We start from the raw sequence: 19,562 nt of genomic DNA on the forward strand, positions 1-19,562 counted from the left end.
CCACATTAATCTAAAGAGAAATAACAGTAGTATCAGTGCCTTTTTCTTCCAACAACTCTACCAACATTCTTTGTCTTGTTCCAAAACGAATTTAATGATATCTTATTATTGAGACACTGTCAAATGTAATAAAATACACTTACTGGTTTCGGCATTTTCTTTCTCTTTTTGTTACCTTCTTTAAAAATTCTCCACTTCAATGAATTCTGTTATCACTTTCTGTTAAAAAAAAAAAAGCATAATCTATTATCTTTTTATATAAGGTTTCTATTTTAACTATAATTTGTGTAAGATATAAATTAAAATATTTGAAAAGGTGGATTTAAAGTAACAAGGAGTGATTTCATTCTCATTTTCAATATCTTCTACTAGCATTGCACATTCCCTAAGAAGACTGAAATCTGAAGATTAAAAATACCACACATCTCAAATAACATGTTATAAACACACTGATCTAACCAGAAGTTTTAATTACAGACAACAAAGAACAAGGAAACATCACTGCTTAGAGCCCAAAAGCTTGCTCTCTGAGTCAGGTTCATCTCTGTATCCAGGATGTTAGAGAAAGGAACAATAAAAGTGAAGACAGATGGATTCAGACTCTGAAGAGCTTAAGAATACTTATTCAATGTTTTTTTTCTGTACTGCCAAAAACAAAAGGAAATTCTGATTAATGTAATCTACAAAAAAATGGAAGAAACTAATTTTTTTTTTTTATTTTTTTAAAGATGGGTCTCATTCTGACATTCAGGCTGGAGTACAGTGGTAACACCACAGCTCACTGCAGCCTAAACCTCCCAGGTTCAAGTGATCCTCCTGCCTTGGGCTCCCAAGTAGCTAGGATCATGAGCACGTGCCAACATGCCCAGCTAGTTTTTTTATTTTATTTTTTTGTAGAGGCAGGGTTGCCCTATGTTGCTCAAGCTGTCTCAAACTCCTGGCCTCAAGCAATCCTCCCAACTGTGCCTCCCAAAGTGCTAGGATTACAGGCATGCGCCACTGCGCCTGGCTTATTTTTTCTTCTTGTAAATTTGAAAATATGAATGGAGAAAAATATGAATAGCTTATTCACCCAATGTGTATGAAACAGGCAAAGCTCTGCACACTAACAACCTGCATTCAGCTAGCACAGCGGCTCACATCTGTAATCCCAACACTTTAGGACCTGTAATCCCAGCTCTTTGGGAGGCCAAGGTGAGAGGACTGCTTAAGCCCAGGTGGCTGAAGCTGCAGTGAGCGGTGATCACACCACTGCACTCCAGCCTGGGCAACAGAGCAAGACCCTGTCTCAAAAACAAACAAACAAAAAAATGTTATTGATTGCTGTTTAAGATGCCATAACTAAGGCTGGGCATGGTGGCTCATGCCTATAATCCCAGCACTTTGGGAGGCCGGGGCGGGAGGATCATTTGAGGTCAGGAGTTTGAGACCAGCCTGGCCAACATGGTGAAACCCCATCTATACCAGAAATACAAAAATTAGCCGGGCATGATGGCAGGTGCCTGTAATCCCAGCTACTCAGGAGGCTGAGGCAGGAGAATCACTTGAACCCAGAAAGCAGAGGTTGCAGTGAGCCGACATGGTCCCACTGTGCTCCAGCCTGGGCAACAGAGCAACACTGTGTTTCTAAAAAACAAAAAAAGAAAAGATGCCATAACTAATAAAAGAGAAATTCTCTAAGTTGTAATAAAAATGAAATTTAGGTAAGGCCATTTCCCTAAATTCTAGTCAATCACAAGTAACTGATTACCAATAAACCTCTTCAGAGGAAATTTCCTCCTGAGATTTTTTTTTTTTTTTTGAGATGGAGTCTCACTCTGTCGCCCAGGCTGGAGTGCAGTGCTCGCAGTGGTGCAATCTTAGCTCACTGCAACCTCTGCCTCCTGGGTTCAAGCGATTCTCCTGCTTCAGCCTCCATAGCTGGAATTACAAGCGTCCACCACCACACCCAGCTAATATTTGTATTTTTAGTAGAGAAAGGGTTTCATCATGTTGGCCAGGCTGGTCTCAAACTCCTGAGCTCAAGTGATCCGCCGGCCTTGGCCTCCCGAAGTGCTGGGATTACAGGCATGAACCATTAGGCAATGAAATTCTGCTGGAGGTATAAACCCCTCATTTCTTAATTCTTATCATTTCCTAGCTTATTCCCATCTACACTCACCTACCTTCATGAACCTAAATGTATTTCAGTCCAATTTTTAAATTCTATACCCTCTTTTCATCCCAACTACTATTACTGCCTTAGTTCAGGTCTTATCATCTCAGGTCTTGATTAAAACAGCCTCCAGGCCAGGCGCGATAGCTCACGTGTGTAATTCCAGCAATTTGAGAAGTGGGAGGATCACTTGAGCCCAGGAGTTTGAGACCAGCCTAGGCAACATGGCAAAACCCCATCTCTATCAAAAAAAAAAAAAAAAAAAACCAAACAAACAAAAAAAAAACGAGCCAGGCATGGTGATGGAAGGAATGCTTGAGCCTGGGAAGTGCAGGTTGAAGTGAGCTGAGATCACCAATGCACTCCAGCCTGGGTGACAGAGCAAGACCCCATCTCAAAAAACAAACAAACAAAAAATGACCTATAACCTATTGGTTCAGAAAAATTGCTTCATCTCACATTTCATAGAACAATTTTATTCAAATTCTTCACACATATATAAGACATGTGTGTCTGCATCAAAACTTTGGCCATTTTTTGAATCATAATAGTTGTTTAGATTACATAAGCATTTTTTTGAATCAGTAATACAATCACTAAAGGTTTTATCCTAAGCCAAAATGGCTTGTCCTAAGTTACGTGGGCAATAAATGGCCAAACTACAAGTCTTTTGACACCTAGCATCCAGAGTTCTACAACGTATCAGCCTGTCTTCCTTTTTTTTTTGATATGAAAAGACTGCTAACTAATTTCATTTGTGGAAATATACCTGAAGAAAATATTAACAAATATGTATAATGATACAACTACAAAGACTCTAATTATAGTACAATTTATAAAAGTATATGTAAAACTGAGAGTTTAGCTAGGTCAGTCATGGTATATCTAAGGATCCACTAGATCACAATGCAGCCTATCAAAATGTTATAGAAAAATACTAAATGACATAGGAAGATATTCACAAACCACTAAGTACAAAGGCAGGTATTAAACCCATCCATAGTAGCCAGGCATGGTGGCTCACACCTGTAATTCCAGCACTTTGGGAGGCCAACGCAGGAGGATCACTTGAGGGCAGGAGTTCAAGACCAGCCTGGGTAACACAGACAGATTGTGTCTCCACAAAAAATAAAAATAAACCAGGCATAGTAGAGTGCACATGTAGTCCTAGCTACTCAAGAGGCTAAGGCAGGAAGATCACTTGAGCCCAGAAGTTTGAGGCTGCAGTGAGTTATGATCATGCCACTACAACCCAGCCTGGGCAACAGGGCAAGATTCTGTCTAAAATGTAAAAAATAAAACATTAAAAAAAAATCCACAGGATATCATCACTTTTTTTAAAAAAACAAAGGAATGAATGAAAAGACCAGAATGATTATATTCTAAAATATTAAGAGGCTCGAATAATTAAAATGAAATCTGTAAACTTGTAAAATGAAAATGTAGAGGTTTTGTCATAAACTAATTTCTTTTTTTTTGGAGATGGAGTCTCGCTCTGTCACCCAGGCTGGAGTGCAGTGGCGCGATCTTGGCTCACTGCAACCTCCGCCTTCCAGGTTCAAGCGATTCTCCTGCCTCAGCCTCCCAAGTAGCTGGGATTACAGGCGTCTGCCACCATGTCTGACTAATTTTTGTATTTTTAGTAGAGACAGGGTTTCACTATGTTGCCCAGGCTGGTCTCGAACTCTTGACATCAGGTAATCTGCCTGCTTCGGCCTCCCAAAGTGCTCACAGATGTGAGCCACCACACACACCCGGCCTAAAAAACTAATTTCTTACGATGAAAAAAACAGAATTATTCTAAATAAGTAAACTAAAGTTGGACTCATAACTTCACAATACCATTTAATAAAATGTAAGTAAGTTAATATTTTTTTCAAAAAGAAAGGAGAAGCAGTGGCTCCTACTTGTAAACCCAGCACTTTGAGAGCCTGAGACAGATGGGCTGCTTGAGCCCAGGAGTTCAAGACCAGCCTGGAAAACATAGCAAGACCCCGTCTCTATGTTTTTTTAAAAATAATCTAAAACAAACAAACAAAAAGACAGACTTGAAAAAAATTATAGTTTTGGAAGAATAACATAATATGACTAAGAAAGATATATAGGTTATAATAAAAACAGATAAATATATTTTATTTTAAATCTCTACATAGGTAAAATAAATACCAAAATAAAAAAGAGTAGAAAAATTTGCAACAGTATAATAAAGCTGTTATGCAAAGTAATCAAATGGTTAAATATATAAAGATATTGCTCAGATTCCACTCAGTAAACACTTCAATAAGAAACTTCACCAACAAAACTTACGTTAAAAAAAACACACAAATGTTCTACTGATTAAAACTACAAATGTTTTACCAATGATATACTCATTAAACTAGCAAAATAAATATTAATTACGCATGCTAAGGTTGACGAACAACGTTGGTAAACAAGTAGGTAAGTATTGTAGGTATCACCAGATATTGGCTCCACATTTCCAGAAAGTAGAGAGAGAATACATAACAAAAGCTACACAGCTTTTTTGAATGTGAAATTCTGCTTTTGTAATAAATCCTCCAGAAGATATTTCTCCCCCCAAACTAAATATAAAAGAAAGTAATCTGTATCAAGATATTCACAGCAGCATTCTTTACAATAGCCAATGATTACAATCACCAAAGTAATGTTGATACTATGTGATAACATGGACTTCTCCAGGGTTGTGGGGGTTTTTTATTTGTTTTTTGGTATTATTAAAACAAACTGTGTCAACATTTAGATAAGGTTAAGTGGAAAGGCAGAATATGTAACTACCCATCCATCAACACAGAAAAACACAGGTATTATTATTATTTTTTTTTTTTTTGAGATGGTCTCGCTCTGTTGCCCAGGCTGGAGTGCAGTGGCGCGATATCGGCTCACTGCAAGCTCTGCCTCCCGGATTTACACCATTCTCCTGCCTCAGCCTCCCCAGTAGCTGGGACTACAGGCGCCTGCCACCACACCCGGCTAATTTTTTTTTGTATTTTTAGTAGAGACGGGGTTTCACCGTGTTAGCCAGGATGGTCTCGATCTCCTGACCTCGTGATCCACCCGCCTCGGCCTCCCAAAGTTCTGGGATTACAGGCGTGAGCCACCACGCCCGGCCAACACAGGTATTATTAAAAAGGATGTCTGAATACACAGAAAGTTAGTACTTAACAGAGTTTTGTTAAGTTTCTAATTTTAAAAATCAGAGACAGAGATAAGAATTTTAAAAACATATTTCATGAAATTGCTTATACATATCTTTCATTAGCTTCTACAACACACAGATGTAAAAATTCTACCTTAAATTTTTCAGGACAAAGCTATGTATAAATGCTATTAAAACCTATGTTTTTACACCAATTTAGTGATTAATGGAAAATATTTATATCAAGAGAATATTGTTGCCGGGCACGGTGGCTCATGCCTGTAATCTCAGTACTTTGGGAGGCCGAGGCAGGCGGATCACGAGGTCAGGAGTTCGAGACCAGTCTGGCCAACATAGTGAAACCCGGTCTCTACTAAAAATACAAAAAATTAGCTGGGTGTGGTGTGTGCCTGTAATCTCAGCTACTGGGGAGGCTGAGATAGCAGAATTGCACGAACCTGGGAGGCAGGGGCTGCAGTGAGCCAAGATCGCGCCACTGCACTCAAGCCCAGGTGACAGTGTGAGACCTCATCTCAAAAGAAAATAAAAGAGAATATTGTTTAACCTCAATGAGACATTTCTGGCTAGGTATGGTGGCTCGCGCCTGTAATCCCAGCACTTTGGGAGGCTGAGGCAGGCAGATCACTTAAGGTCAGGAGTTCGAGACCATCCTGGGCAACATGGAGAAACCCTGTCTCTAGTAAAAATAAAAAATTAGCCAAACATGATGGCACATGCCTGTAGTCCCTGCAACTCAGGAGGCTGAGGCAGGAGAATCGCTTGAATCCAGGAGGCAGAGGCTGCAATGAGCTGAGATCACACCACTACACTTCAGCCTGGGCGACAGAGTGAGACTTTGTCTCAAAAAAAAAAAAAAAAAAAAAAGAGACATTTCTAGTCTATAAATATATTAGTATGTTTTTAATTGAAACTGGCATCTATTAGTAGCAGAATAGATAATTTCATAAAATGTCACATGGAAAACAAAGAAACCTAGATGCATATCCTGGGGTTCCATCTCTAACTTGAAACAAAACCTGGTCTTTCAAGTCTTTCTTTTCTTCTATTAAAAAAAGTATAAAAATAATAATAAAAAATAAATTGCCTAAACCATTATATATCAAAGACACATATTTATATACCAAATATTTGTATATTTCCACTCTTCCCTCATAAAAATATTTACTCCCTCCTCCCCACTCTTAATTCTCTTAATTTTAATCTGCAAGTTTATTGGTTTAAACTTAATTAAACCAATTAAATCCTTAATTTTCTCCCACTCTTAAATGTCTTAAAAGTGGTCTTGCCCTGCCTCTTTTCCATACCTACTTCTCCTAAAGCAATATATTGTGCTCTTTTCCATACCTACTCCTTCAAAAGCAATAAAAGAGCAGTCATGGCAGCAACATACCCAGCAAGTCGTCTGGAGAGATGCTGCCAGCCAGCAAACGTCTCCCATCTCGAGAAAACCACTCATATGAATATGTACTCAAACACAGTGCCACACATTAGAGACAACATAGACACAATAAACATTCTCTCCTTTGTCTTTTAACTCTGAGGGTAACCCTCAGTCTCCTTTCTACCTAATGCAATGGAAAAATAGCCTCATGCTCGACACATTGAGCTCTGTTAGGTCAGTGGCACAAGACTCACACCTGTCAGGTGGTAAAACAGGTGTTATAAAGTCTAGTCCATGCAGTGCCTGCACTGAAGCATCAATAATTCATAGCAGATTGCCTGATTTTACTTTTGAGATACTCTTTTCCCTAAGCCTAATTTTAATTATTTTAAATTTTTTTCTGCCTTTTCGGACTTAGAAATGACCTCTGAACATAATTGTGGTCTCTCCAGAAACCAAAATATTCCAAGAGAACTCATCTGCCAATTTACTGGGAGAAAGCTGCACAACAAAGAACAGTATAAACTGAATAAGGCAACTCTGGCAGTCCAATCAACACAATAATGGAATCTACTAAAGAAGTTCTTAATCATTTTATTTTTCCTGCATGGGCCCTGCTGGTGAAGCCTATGAACTCTTTCTAAGAAAAGTATTTTTAAATGCATAAAATACATGCACACAATACAGAAAATTACAAAAGAAACCAATTACACTGGAATATGATTATCAAAATATAAAAAACACAAACCTTGAGTAATATATATGCTTTTTTAATACTTTAAGTAACAGTTAAGTTATTTCGAGACAGCTTTAATGTATTCCAAAAGTATCTACCGTTTCTATTAGAAACAGTCTCTGGGCTGGTTATGGTGGCTCATGCCTGTAATCTCAACACTTTGGGAGACCAAGGCAGGAAGATGGCTTGGGGCCGGGAGTTCAAAACCAGTCTGGGCAATCTACAAAAAATAAAAAAATTAGCTGTGTGTAGTGATGTGCACCTGTAGTCCCAGCTATTCTAAAGGGTCACTTGAACCCAGGAGTGATGGTGCCACTGCACTCCAGCCTGGGCAACAGAGTGAGATCCCATCTCTATAAAAAATAAAAATTAAATTAAAAAATAGACGACACAGTCTCTGGTACTGTACTGCTAATGCTAATGTTGTCTATACTCATAACAAGAAAATGTAAAAATAAAGATGTAACTTTTTCCCCATTCAAGGTCATAGGTCCCCGGGTTTAAAACCTTTAATATACAAAGAACTATGCTTATTATGCTGTTAGCTCAGTGTTAATAAATTTTATGGCAATAATAATGCACTTTTACCTAAATAATGACATGTCATCCCGTCATCCCAAAGTGAAGCAAAGAGGACAAGAATTTTTAGCTCCATTTTGCAAGTAAAGAAATAAGGCCAAAAGCAAGAAGGGTAGTGAATACAGGGAGCATCTGTAGAATGCTCACTCTCCACTCTGCCTACACTTCCTATCTTCACAATAACTGCCCTCCCCCTTCCTGCCCAAGACAGGTGTTACAATCTCTCATTCTTCTAAAAAAGAAATTAAGATTCAGATAAATGACTTGCTCAATGTCAGGGGGCTACTTAACAAGACATAAGTCCTTTAAAATCCTAGTCTTGGGCTCTTTTGATTATCTTATTCTACTTTTCTCAGATACCATTTTAGACAAGTTCATTCGAAACAATTACTAGGGCTTTTCAAGAAGTAGGCTATTAAAGCTCTCTATTGTTAGCAGGTCAAGAGACTACCTCTAAAGATGTTTTAAGTGCACATTAATAACTGGTATGATCATCTCTGTAAATGGATTTCCTGTAAGGGTGAGAGGCAGTTTTAAATAAGATATTAAGTCTTGCTCATGTAGAAATGATTTCTGGTTTAATGATATTTTCAAGGAAATGAAATATTCAACGTTTGAGTAATATACATGTTACTGAAAATGCAAAGCAAATTTCTAAAATTTATAAAGCTGAACTGCAATATTAACACCAAAGTTTTACACTGAGTTTAGGATCTCTTCTAAGAGTTTTGTAAATTTAAAAAGGAAAATCATACCTGTATTGTTCCTAAGGTGAGCAGAAAACAAAATAATACACTATCATTTGCAATTATTAAATACTAAAAGGTAAGAAAGCTAAATCCAGTTCAACTTCCTCATTTCACTCTTAAGAAAACATTAAACATTCACATAAAAATGTTTAGAAATGGGAAAACAGGTTCATGCAAGTCACTTATATAACAGGAAAGAAGCAAACACAAAATAATTCTCACAAATAATTCTACCCTTAATGTGCTTTGAAACATCAGATATTATAGCTTATTTTCAAAACAGAACAAAGTCAGTATGTTTCTTAAATGTCTTTATAATTAGACAATATTCTCTAACACAGTCAACGAGGCTATATGGCAGTTCTATTGCTATAAAAAAATTAAGCTTCTAATTTTCTAGATATTAACTCCCTTTTTTGAAAAACTGATACAATGCCTGGTTCACAGTTGGGCCTCAAAATGTCTGTTGATTTTGTTGGTGAATTAATCTTACACATAATACTAGTTTTAATTTTTCTGTTGATTAGTGTCAAGGGCAATAGTTTCCTCTCTTTTTTTATGTTGTAAAATGACCAAACTAATAAGCATCACTAAGAAGAGAGAACCAACATGAACATGGGGAACAAAAAAAGCTCCTTACAGCTGGGCGTGGTGGCTCACACCTGCAATCCCAGCACTGTGGGAGGCCCAGGTGAGCGGATCACCTGAGGTTGGGAGTTCGAGACCAGCCTGACCAACATGGAGAAACCCCCATCTCTACCAAAAATAAAAAATTAGCCGAGCGTGGTGGCGCATGCCTGTAATCCCAGCTACTTGAGAAGCTGAGGCAGGAGAATCACTTGAACCTGGGAGGCCGAGGTTGTGGTGAGCCAAGATCGCGCCATTGCACTCCAGCCTCGGCAACAAGAGCAAAACTCTATCTCAAAAAAAAAAAAAAAAAAAAAAACTTTTTACAACTAGGCCTCCCAAATTCAAGCCTTAACCATCTCTATCCAAAACTGTTTTAATAATTTCAATTAAGTTGACAATCAAATTAAAGGCCAGATAATTTGACACACTTAATGATAACTGTAATTACCATGCTGCTTGTTGATTAGATATTAGCAGTAAGCTTTCTGGTGATATATACTAACTTTGCTGAATAGCCAAACTAAGTTTTTATAGTTTTTCTAAGTCTAGAACCTATAAACAGCTTAAGTATCAGGAGTCCTCACAATGGCTAAGAAAATTTAATCCAAGCCAAAGGGATCTAAAGTCAATTAACCACAGCTGAGATTTTCTATGTTCCCATTCTCCCTTTCACTCAGAGTCCTTATGTTGACTGGGGGCGGTGGCTCACACCAGAAATCTCGGCACTTTGGGAAGCCAAGGCGGGTGAATCACTTGAGGTCAGGAGTTCAAGACCAGCCTAGCCAACACGGCGAAACTCCGTCTCTACTAAAAATATAAAAATTAGTCCCGTCTCTACTAAAAATATAAAAATTAGTCAGACGTGGTGACCTGTTTGGTGGTGTGCATCTGTAGTCCCAACTACTCGGGACGCTGAGGCAGGTGAATTGCATGAATCCAGGAGGCAGAGGCTGCAATGAGCTGAGATCATGCCACTGCACTCCAGCCTGGGTGACAAAGTGAGACTGTCTCAAAAAAAAAAAAAAAAAAAAAAAAAACAAGGGTCCTTACGTTGCATTAATGCATCCACATTATTCCATGTACTCACCAGGATTTTTTGTTATAAACAAAAATACCCACTCTGGTTAACTTATTAAAAGATTATCAGTCAATTTACAAAAACAACAGGAAGATTTAACAAAGAAAAAAAAACAGAGGAAGCAAGAAACATCCAGAACTCACAGCACAGAATACTGTGCTTAAAATGCTGCTGCAAGGAGTATTAATTAACTTATACACACTACTGTGACACTTAACAGGCCAGGTGTGGTGGCTCACGCCTGTAATCCCAGCACTTTGGGAGGCTGAGGCGGGAGGATCACTTGAACCCAGGACAGCCTGGGCAACATGGTGAGACCCCGTGTCTACAAAAAATAAAAAAGCCGGGAGTGGTGGCAAGCTCCTATAGTTCCAGCTACTTGGGAGACTGAGGTGGAGGGATCACTTCAGCCTGGGAGGTCAAGGTCACAGTGAGCTATAATCAAGCCACCGCACTCTGGCCTGGGCAACAGAGACAGTCTCAAAAAGAAAAAAAAAAAAGCACTTAACACACTTTATGAATACAATATGGCACATCTATCTGCCCATTAGAGTGAGAACTCCTGAGTATTTTACTCATCTTTCCATTCTCAAATGCAAAGAGTATGTGGCATATAATAACTGTCCAAATGTACGACTGACATCTTAAAGCAGTGGTCGGCAAACTTTTTCCGTAAAGGGCCAGGTAAGTAAACATTATAAGCTTTGTAAGCCACACAGTCTCTGTTGAAACCATTCTACTGTTGTAGCAGGAAAGCAGCCATAGATAATATGTAAACAAGTCAGCTACGATGTGTTCAAATAAAACTTTATAAAAACAGGCAGTAGGCTGGGTTTAGCCCATGGACCACAATTTGCCAAGTATTTTAACAAGAATCAACACTTTTCCTTTCATAATTTAACTGAAGTTGGTACCTACAAAGATATGAGCTCACTACATATGACTATCTGTAATGGATCAATTTTGGATATGACTTTGGGTGGGGGTAAAAAAAGGACCGAAGACATGTAATATAGATGAATAATGAAAATAACAGGGCTGGGTGCAGTTGCCTGCACTTTAGGAGGCTGAGGCAGGAGGATCACTTGAGGCCAGAAGTTTGAGACTAGCCTGGGCAACATAGTGAAACTGTATCTCTAAAAAAAATTAAAATCAGCCAAGCATGGTGGTGTGCACATGTAGTCTTAGCTACTCCAGAGGCTGAGGTGGGAGGACTGCCTGAGCCCCGGAGTTCAAAGCCCTGGAGTTCGTGGCATGGAGCTATGATCATGCCACTGTACTCCAGCAGCAGAGAGGTGACAGTGACAGAGAGAAGGAGGGAGACAGGGAAAAAGGGAGGGACGGAGGGAGGAAGGAAAAAGAAAAAAGAAGTATCTATTGGGAACAGAGTTGGAAGAAAGGGCAATTCCATTACCCTTGCCAGTTGACTGGTTAGGTATAGAATGTGCCCCAATCCTGGCCAATGAGGCTCGAAAGACATCTGCTTGGGGGTTTCTGGAAACAGTTCCTCTTATTCCTTTGGATACTGCCCTGTCTGGATGGGATGCAGCAGCCAAACTGGGACAAGGGGCTAACTGCAGGCTTGACCTCCCAGGCTCAAGTGATACCCCAACCTCAGCATTCTGAGTAGCTGGGACTACAGGTCCACACCACCGCTCCTGGCTCCTTTGCAGCAGCCAAATTGAGATGGGTAAGGGCTGTCTTAGTATGAAGTTAATAGGGAAAATCACAGGGAAGAGAGTTGGAAAGAGAAGGAGTCCTTGATGTCATTATTGAACCATTCTTGAGCCTCTGGACTTTTAGTATGCAAGACATTAAATTTTGGCCAGGCATGGTGGCTCACACCTGTAATCCTCCCAGCACTTCAGGAGGCCGAGGCAGAAAGTCCAAGGCAGGAAGTCTGAGGCAGGATGATCATTTGAGACCAGCCTGGGCAACATAGGGATACCCCGTATCTACAAAAAGGCTTTTTAAAAAATTAGTTGTTGGCCAGGCACAGTGGTTCACACCTGTAATCCCAGCACACTGGGAGGCCAAGGCGGGCAGATCACTTGAGGTCAGGAGTTTGAGACCAGCCTGGCCAACATGGTAACACCCTGTCTCTACTAAAAATACAAAAATTAGCCGGGCCTGGTGGCATGTGCCTTAAATCCCAGCTACTAGGGAAGCTGAGGCAGGAGAATCGCTTGAACCCTGGAGGCAGAGGCTGTAGTGAGCTGAGATCATGCCACTGCATTCCAGCCTGGGCAACAGAGCGAGACCCTGTCTTGGAAAAAAAAAAAAAAAATTAGCTAGGCATGGTGGCACACGCCTGTGTTGGCAGCTACTAGGGAGACTGATGTGGGAGGAACTTAAAGGATCACTTGAGCCCAGGAGGTCAAGGCTGCAGTGAGCTGTAATAGTGCCACTGCACTCCAGCTTGGGTGACAGAGGAAGACTCTGTTTTCAAAAAAAAATGAAGAAAAAAATGACATTAAATTTCCTCATTGTTTAAACCAGTTGGAGAATTTTCTGCTATTTGATGCCAATGCATCTTAAAGGATCTAAGGGCTCAAAACTGAAGAGCGCTCACTTCACAAATTTACCTGCAGTCAGTCCTAGTTGACTTAAACTTTTCACAAATAAATTAAAAAAAAAAAACATTTAAGGTCCTGAAAGCCATAGAGATTATCTACAACTCAGAAGAAAACAGTCCATTATCTCAATTACTAATAGCTTTATAAATTCTATAATCTTAGAGAAAATAAACAATGAAGTACCTGTTTCTTCAATACTGTATCTAAAATATCCTTTCAACAGGATGTTTTTTCTAAGGAGTTGGCAAACTTTTTTTGTAAAGAGCAAGATGTGGCTATTTCCCACACCAAATTATAAACCTCCTTTTTTAAAAGACACCATTTCTCATTGTCAACTATATGCCATATGCTAGAAAACAAAAAGTAAACTTCATCTTCAATCATTAATCAAGAAAATCTGTACACAAACAAATTTGCACATACACACACTTGAGAATTAGCGTAGGGAATTCTATTGTGTGCTTTTATTCAAATGATGAAAACATGAGAAATATGATTTACTCAATGTTTAACACAAGTTAATAAGCATCCTTTCAATGTCTGTTACAATATAACCCTATTTTAACAAGACTTTAAAATCACAAATAAGGGATATAAAGTATATGTTTATCCCTGCATACCTACTGGCATTTTCTATAAACAAGGAATTGCCGACAGCAGCTACCTATGGAAAACAGGACTGGGAAAGGGGCTGGGGTGTTCCAGGGAGTAAGGAGGACTTTGACCTTTTCCTTGACATTTTTCTGAGTTTTTAAACTTTGCCATAAAATATATCACTTTTATAGTTTTTTTTAAATGGCTTAAGCTATACATTCAATATAAAGATATACACCAGGAACTTAAAGTAGGAAAGGCAGGATTTCTCTAAAATAGGCTAGAAATTGAGGAACTCTCTGGGGCCAGATTGGACACCTCTATCATCAAAGCAGTACGCACACCCTGGCTGCAGCAATCAAGGAAGTTACCAGAACAGTCTTCAGCTGGATCAGTAATGCCATGAGACTTAAAATAATCTTTTAAGGGTAGAGTCCATAGCAACCCAATCCAGCTCCACTGAATCTTGTACCCCAGGGGTAGTATCAGTTAAGTACCACCTGCCAGCTCGTGGTCTGCAGGAAGGTTCCTGCCACCCAACAGTGACTTGCTTGACTTCCCCGATGCACAGAAGTAACACGAAATTATATTTATCTACACCTTACATATAAACTCCAGCAGCATATAGCTCAGTTTTCACAACCTTAATAAAACAGATTTTTTTAGACTTTGGCCTACAGGAAATATTGGTTAAAATTTGACCCCGTTTTTAAACATTAGTAGCATAAATTAAAATGCATTAAATTAAAAATGGATGAAAAAACAAGACTCTCACCATCATTTACCATTTCAGACTATTATATCAGATCACACATAGTAGGTTAAAAGATTGAGAACTGAAAGCAAAATAAAAATATATAAAGACTTTCACTTCAACAGCCTGCCAAAGATAAAAAATGAATAATAAAATCCAATTCTGGCCGGGCGCAGCGGCTCATGCCTGTAATCCCAGCACTTTGGGAGGCCGAGGCGGGCAGAACGCCGGAGGTCCAGGAGTTCCAGACCAGCCTGGCCAACATGGCAAAACCCCGTCTCTACTAAAAATGCAAAAATTAGCCGGGCATGGTGGCGCACGCCTGTAGTCCCAGCTACTCGGGTGGCTGAGGTACAAGAATCACTTGAACCCAGGAGGCGGAGGTGCAGTGAGCCAAGATCATGCCACTGCATATCACCCTGGGAGACAGAGCGAGATGGGCTAACTGGATTAAAATAAGCATCGGTTTCATTAAAAAGGACTAACTTGAAGATAAATCTTTTGACTCTAGCTCTTTAGAGGATCTAAAGTGACCTTGATGGACAGTGGAAGAAATCACAACATGGAATTCCTTGAGTAAAAATTTATCGACTTAAAAAAAAAATCCAATTCTGCTTTTGGGAACAGTGAACCAATAAACAAAAGACAACGCGTTCCCCATCCCGGAGACTAATGAGACTCAGCAAGGGAGGGAAACAACAGCAAAGTCTGTCATTTCTTACCAACAAAAGGAAAGTAATCAATTTGACTTTCAGTTAATTAATCACAATTTCAAAAAAAAAAACAAAAGGACAGACTCAACGTATTTTCCCTACACCCAAATTAATTACATCTATTCTACAGCTACTTCTGAGACTCTCCTACATACTCTTCCATGTGTGGGGATACAGGAGTGAACAAAACATTGTATGTGATTCCTAAGGTCAAGAACTCAACGTTTTTTCAATGCCACAATCAAATTCTGTCTCATTTAAATAAAACTGTAAAGAATGCCAATGTCTATTCATTCCTTGCTAATAATATACCAACTGTTTATTAAATTCCATCATATATAAAAAAGCGATTAAGCAAAGAAAGTCACTGCAATCGTCTTTACAGCATACGATTAACTTCAAAAGGAGTGTTTTACATGTTGCTGTATTTGAAGGAAAGTATTATTAATCTCTGGAAGATAAAGCACACTGGGGAAAGCAAAGAAATTCTGAAAATAAAAAACTGCAATCCTGAATATTAGTCTCCTTTCTCAAATCCAGTGATGCTGTTTTGGCAAATGGATCAAGCCATTATTTATCCAGCAACATGAACGGGGTAATTGTTCCTTCTTAGCTCCATCAGTCATATAAAAGAGTATTTAGTGTTCTAAAAAAAAAAAAAAAAAAAGAAGTATGCTCCTTAAACAATAGATTACAATGTCTATGTCAAAGTACTCGTTTATCAAATAAACCCTTATTATCTTAGACTTTTATATTTACATCCTGCCAGTCTTAGTGCCACAAGAATGCCATCGAGTTCCTCAGCAACGTGTCTTCCACCAAAATCTCAAATGTATTTTAAAATATATTTTTATGAAGTTGACTTTTAACACATTTCCAACCTAGTAACTACTCTTTAAGGAAAAAAAAAAACCACCAAATATTGGGAATGTCTGAAGAAACATGACATCTGTCTAGGAAGTGATGTAGTCTGTTTAAACTGAAAAAAAAAAAAAAACAAAAATGCACTGCCCCCTTTCAAAGTTAGTCCGGGAATTGAGTTTAGAATCCTTTAAAGGAAAAGAGGGATATCATGTACTGAACTTGTCTGGTGGGGTCTGAGACACTAAAACTGAGCGGCCTCAAGGGCCCGAGAAAGTTACAGGGCTCCGAGAGCTGCAACAGCAGCAGGTAGAGCTGCGGCCGGGAACCGCGGCCCTGGCCTGGCGGGTGCGAGCGGCGGGAGCGACTGGCGCCCCAAAGCCTGTCATGCAACATCCCCTTTGCCACTGGGGCGGAACGCACGCTCTCTAGTAATTTAACACCCCTCCTTTCAAACTGGAGGCCGGGGAACAAGTTCTAATAAATGTAAAATCGAATTCTACCTACGCTGAATATCTGGATTTTCAAACAACCCTTGGGACCATGCCAGCCCGGGCCCGGGGCCCAGTCCAGGCAGCGGGAGCCCACCGTCCCCAGGGCGCTGGGGGTCCGACACCGGCGCTGAAGGCAGACTCCGCGCCCCGAGGAAAGGAGAATCCCGCGGCGGCGAAGGTCGACTTTGGCCCGGCCAGGCACGTTCGGGCCGCGGCTCAGCCACGACTCGGGCAGGGCCTCGCGGCCCCTACCAGCCCCGGGAGGAGCCTGGCCGGCCGGGCCGTTACCACAGTGGCGCCTCGGCCAGCTGGGCGCGAGCGGAGGCGCGCCAAGCCCTGGCGGCGGCGCCACGGCCGGGCAGCACGGGCCCCGCAACTTCGCGCCGCCACCTTAGCGTCTCCGGAGGAACCGGGAGCGGGGAGTGGGGGAAGGGAGGGCGCCGCGCCTTACCCGGAGAGCGGGCGGCTTCTGCCCGCCGGCGTGTGGCTGGGGCGCTGCGCGGCGGCGCGGCTGCGACAGGGAGGGAGAAGCGGTGGTGCGAGCGCTGGCCCGCGGGAGACGAGAGGCGCCGCCGCCACCGCAGACAGCTCCGCAATATGGCCGCTCGGCGCCTCCGCGGGAAAAGGCGGGGCTGCCCGGCGCCCCCCCGCCTCCCCCTGCCGGCCGGCCGTCCTCGCGCCGCGGACTGAGCGCCAACGCCGCCGCTGGGGGCCGCCCCCGCCCCGCCCCTCCCGCAGGCTCGCAGCCGCAGGCCTGGCTCCGGGCGTGGCCGGGGGTCGCGGTCTGGGGCCGGCCAACGCGAGGTGGGTGGCTGCGGGCTCGGGAGCGCCCAGGGAAATAGGGCGAATGCGCCGGAGGGTCGAGCCCTTCCAGAGAGCGCTGGGCTCCAGCTAAACCTGCGGTCGAGGGAAGCGGAGCCGCCCAGCCCAAAGCTCGGAGTGTGCCCGCCGCCTCCCCAACGAGTGGAAACTTGAAACTCCCGCTGGTGCCAGCAAACTCACTGAGGGCGTTGCCGTCGCCCCCAGAGGAGGAATTCTTCCCAGAGGGAGCCGGGGACCAAATGAAGCGTGAGACTTGGCTGTTAGGTTTGAAGATCCTGGACTGGGAAGGAGAAAAGGGCCTACCTGAGCGGAATTTAGATTTGCAACAAAGAACGTTTACATTATTTTGGCAGGTTTTAGCCAACTAGAAAAACTTAATTTTTCAGCGACAATTTTCAAACTTCACCAAAACCTCAATGGATAAGACCCCAAATCAGGAGTGCAAATTTTAATCCAAGCAAGGATGTGTGATAATTTTTTATTACCAACGACATGCTTTGGCAGTTGGAAGGAGTTGGTTAGCAAGAAAAAGTTGGAAGTAGGGCCCCAAAGAGCCGCCAAACCTACATAATTCTAGATTTAGAGAAAGTTAGGCATTCGATCTTAAGACTAAGTCTAGCCCACTCACTTTAGTTAGTGGCTGGGATGAGACAGGAAGCTCCTGACTTCTGGATCAGTCTTCTGTCATCTAATCCATGCTGAGTCCCCTCAGTATTGTCTGCTGGGATGATTCAGGGAGCAAAACTTGCTATGAGTATACAAACAGCAAGCGCACAAAATCAGATTCGCCTGGCTTGCCCTGTTTGCAATACTTTTTTTAGCTTATCTTTTGTGAACAAACTTTAGATTCAAATAACAAAACGCCTGAGTATACTTACTTTTATAGGACAAATAACTCCTATACTTCCTGCCTTAGCATTTACCTTAGGTGAGACAGTAGCTTTTCCAGGAAATATCTGCAAATCACTTTCACTAGCCTGCCTCTTCAGTGAGTTTCCACTATTGCCCTTTGAGACCTCTCCGAACAATTAAAAGCCCCCAAGAGACTCAAGGGTTAAACTCAAGGGCCTTTAGATAGCAAATTCCTCAAGGATGGGAACCAGGTGTGTGACTTGCGACCAAATAGGTTCTTGTGGTTCTTAGGGACCACCAAAAGATCACTCCTTACCTCTCCCTAGGGTGCAAGAATTATCCTGGTTATTGTTCAGCCTACCACATCAGGTTGCAGGCATAGTCAAAGTATTACGTAATACTTCCCATGAAGTAGGTAAGAAAAAAAAGTATTATGTAAATTCCTACATAGTACACTAATCAAATGAAATTATATAACACACTTTTGCAACTGAAAGTGAAGGATTCACTGTTGTTGGTCAGGTGCCAGACACTGGTGTGAAATTCTTTTACATGACTGTCTCTTTTAATGGTTACAAAAACCCTCTGGGATAAATACTATTATTGACCCTTTAAAAAAAATCGATGAATAAGACAGCTTAAAAAGAGGTAAGTAATTTCCCCAATGTAACAAAACTAGGAAGTGGCAGAGCAGTGACCAAACCCAAATATATGTTTGACTCCAAAAGCCTTGATTTTATCCTATCTTCTGCAACAGCAAACAGACCAAAAATTGCAACATTTTAGTTGGGTATCCTATTAGTAAATATTTAAGTGAAAGATAACAGTCAAGGCTGGTGAGATAAAAAGGGTACTCTCAGACATGGTGAGTGGGAGTGTAAACTGAAATAATCTCTTTATAAAGCTATTTGGCACTGTGATTCAACCCCTAAGAACTTTCATGGCAGGGCATGGTGGCTCATGCCTGTAATCCCCGCACTTCCTGGGAGGCTGAGGCGGGCAGAGCATGAGGTCAGGAGACCGAGACTATCCTGGCCAACATGGTGAAACCCCGTCTCTACTGAAAATACAAACCTCAGCTGGGTGTGGTGGCACACGCCTGTAATCCCAGCTACTTGGGAGGCTGAGGCAGGAGAATGACTTGAACCCGGGAGGCAGAGATTGCAGTGAGCCGAGATCATGCCACTGCACTTCAGCCTGGCAACAGAGCGAGACTCCCTCTCAAAAAAAAACAAAGCAAAAAAACAAAAAGAATGTTCATAACTGGCCAGTGCTGAAGCTCACACCAGTAATCCCAACACTTTGGGAGGCTGGGGCGGGAAGGTCGCTTGAGCCCAGGATTTTCAAGACCAGCCTGATCAAAATAGTGAAACCCCATCGCTACAAAAAAAATTATAAAAATTAGCCAGG

The 19,562-nt window shown here is 41.4% G+C and overlaps 1 protein-coding gene across 19 annotated transcripts in view, besides 6 other annotated features; it reads right to left on the reverse strand.

The window, feature by feature from the left end:
- RDX (radixin) overlaps window positions 1-17,077 on the reverse strand; it is a 121,693-nt gene extending 104,616 nt beyond the window's left edge. For 12 of the 19 annotated variants that reach the window (NM_001260493.2, NM_001440505.1, NM_001260495.2 and 9 more), the window contains exons 1-2: window positions 16,930-17,077; window positions 144-219 (exon numbers count right to left, since the gene is read on the reverse strand). In NM_001260493.2, coding sequence (NP_001247422.1) covers window positions 144-155 — 12 coding nt within the window. In that variant the 5' untranslated portion in view covers window positions 156-219; window positions 16,930-17,077. Of the gene's footprint in view, window positions 1-143; window positions 220-7,462; window positions 7,671-16,491 lie in introns of all 19 variants that reach the window. The other 7 variants (NM_001440510.1, NM_001440511.1, NM_001440513.1 and 4 more) reach the window with 5 other exon arrangements.
- Window positions 16,174-17,046: an enhancer, noted in NCBI's record as "H3K27ac hESC enhancer chr11:110166436-110167308 (GRCh37/hg19 assembly coordinates)". NCBI's record gives its function as "activates a minimal SCP1, AML or CMV promoter by ChIP-STARR-seq in naive and primed H9 embryonic stem cells {active_cell/tissue: H9 hESC(naive and primed)}" and the evidence as "EXISTENCE:reporter gene assay evidence [ECO:0000049][PMID:30033119]".
- Window positions 16,174-17,459: a biological region, named in NCBI's record as "H3K27ac hESC enhancer GRCh37_chr11:110166436-110167308".
- Window positions 16,260-16,319: a silencer, noted in NCBI's record as "silent region_3886". NCBI's record gives its function as "represses an Ori minimal core promoter by ATAC-STARR-seq in GM12878 lymphoblastoid cells {active_cell/tissue: GM12878}" and the evidence as "EXISTENCE:reporter gene assay evidence [ECO:0000049][PMID:35858748]".
- Window positions 16,450-16,549: a silencer, noted in NCBI's record as "silent region_3887". NCBI's record gives its function as "represses an Ori minimal core promoter by ATAC-STARR-seq in GM12878 lymphoblastoid cells {active_cell/tissue: GM12878}" and the evidence as "EXISTENCE:reporter gene assay evidence [ECO:0000049][PMID:35858748]".
- Window positions 16,560-16,609: a silencer, noted in NCBI's record as "silent region_3888". NCBI's record gives its function as "represses an Ori minimal core promoter by ATAC-STARR-seq in GM12878 lymphoblastoid cells {active_cell/tissue: GM12878}" and the evidence as "EXISTENCE:reporter gene assay evidence [ECO:0000049][PMID:35858748]".
- Window positions 16,660-17,459: a silencer, noted in NCBI's record as "silent region_3889". NCBI's record gives its function as "represses an Ori minimal core promoter by ATAC-STARR-seq in GM12878 lymphoblastoid cells {active_cell/tissue: GM12878}" and the evidence as "EXISTENCE:reporter gene assay evidence [ECO:0000049][PMID:35858748]".

Source organism: Homo sapiens, chromosome 11 (assembly GCF_000001405.40).
Source record: "Homo sapiens chromosome 11, GRCh38.p14 Primary Assembly".
NCBI lineage: Eukaryota > Metazoa > Chordata > Mammalia > Primates > Hominidae > Homo > Homo sapiens.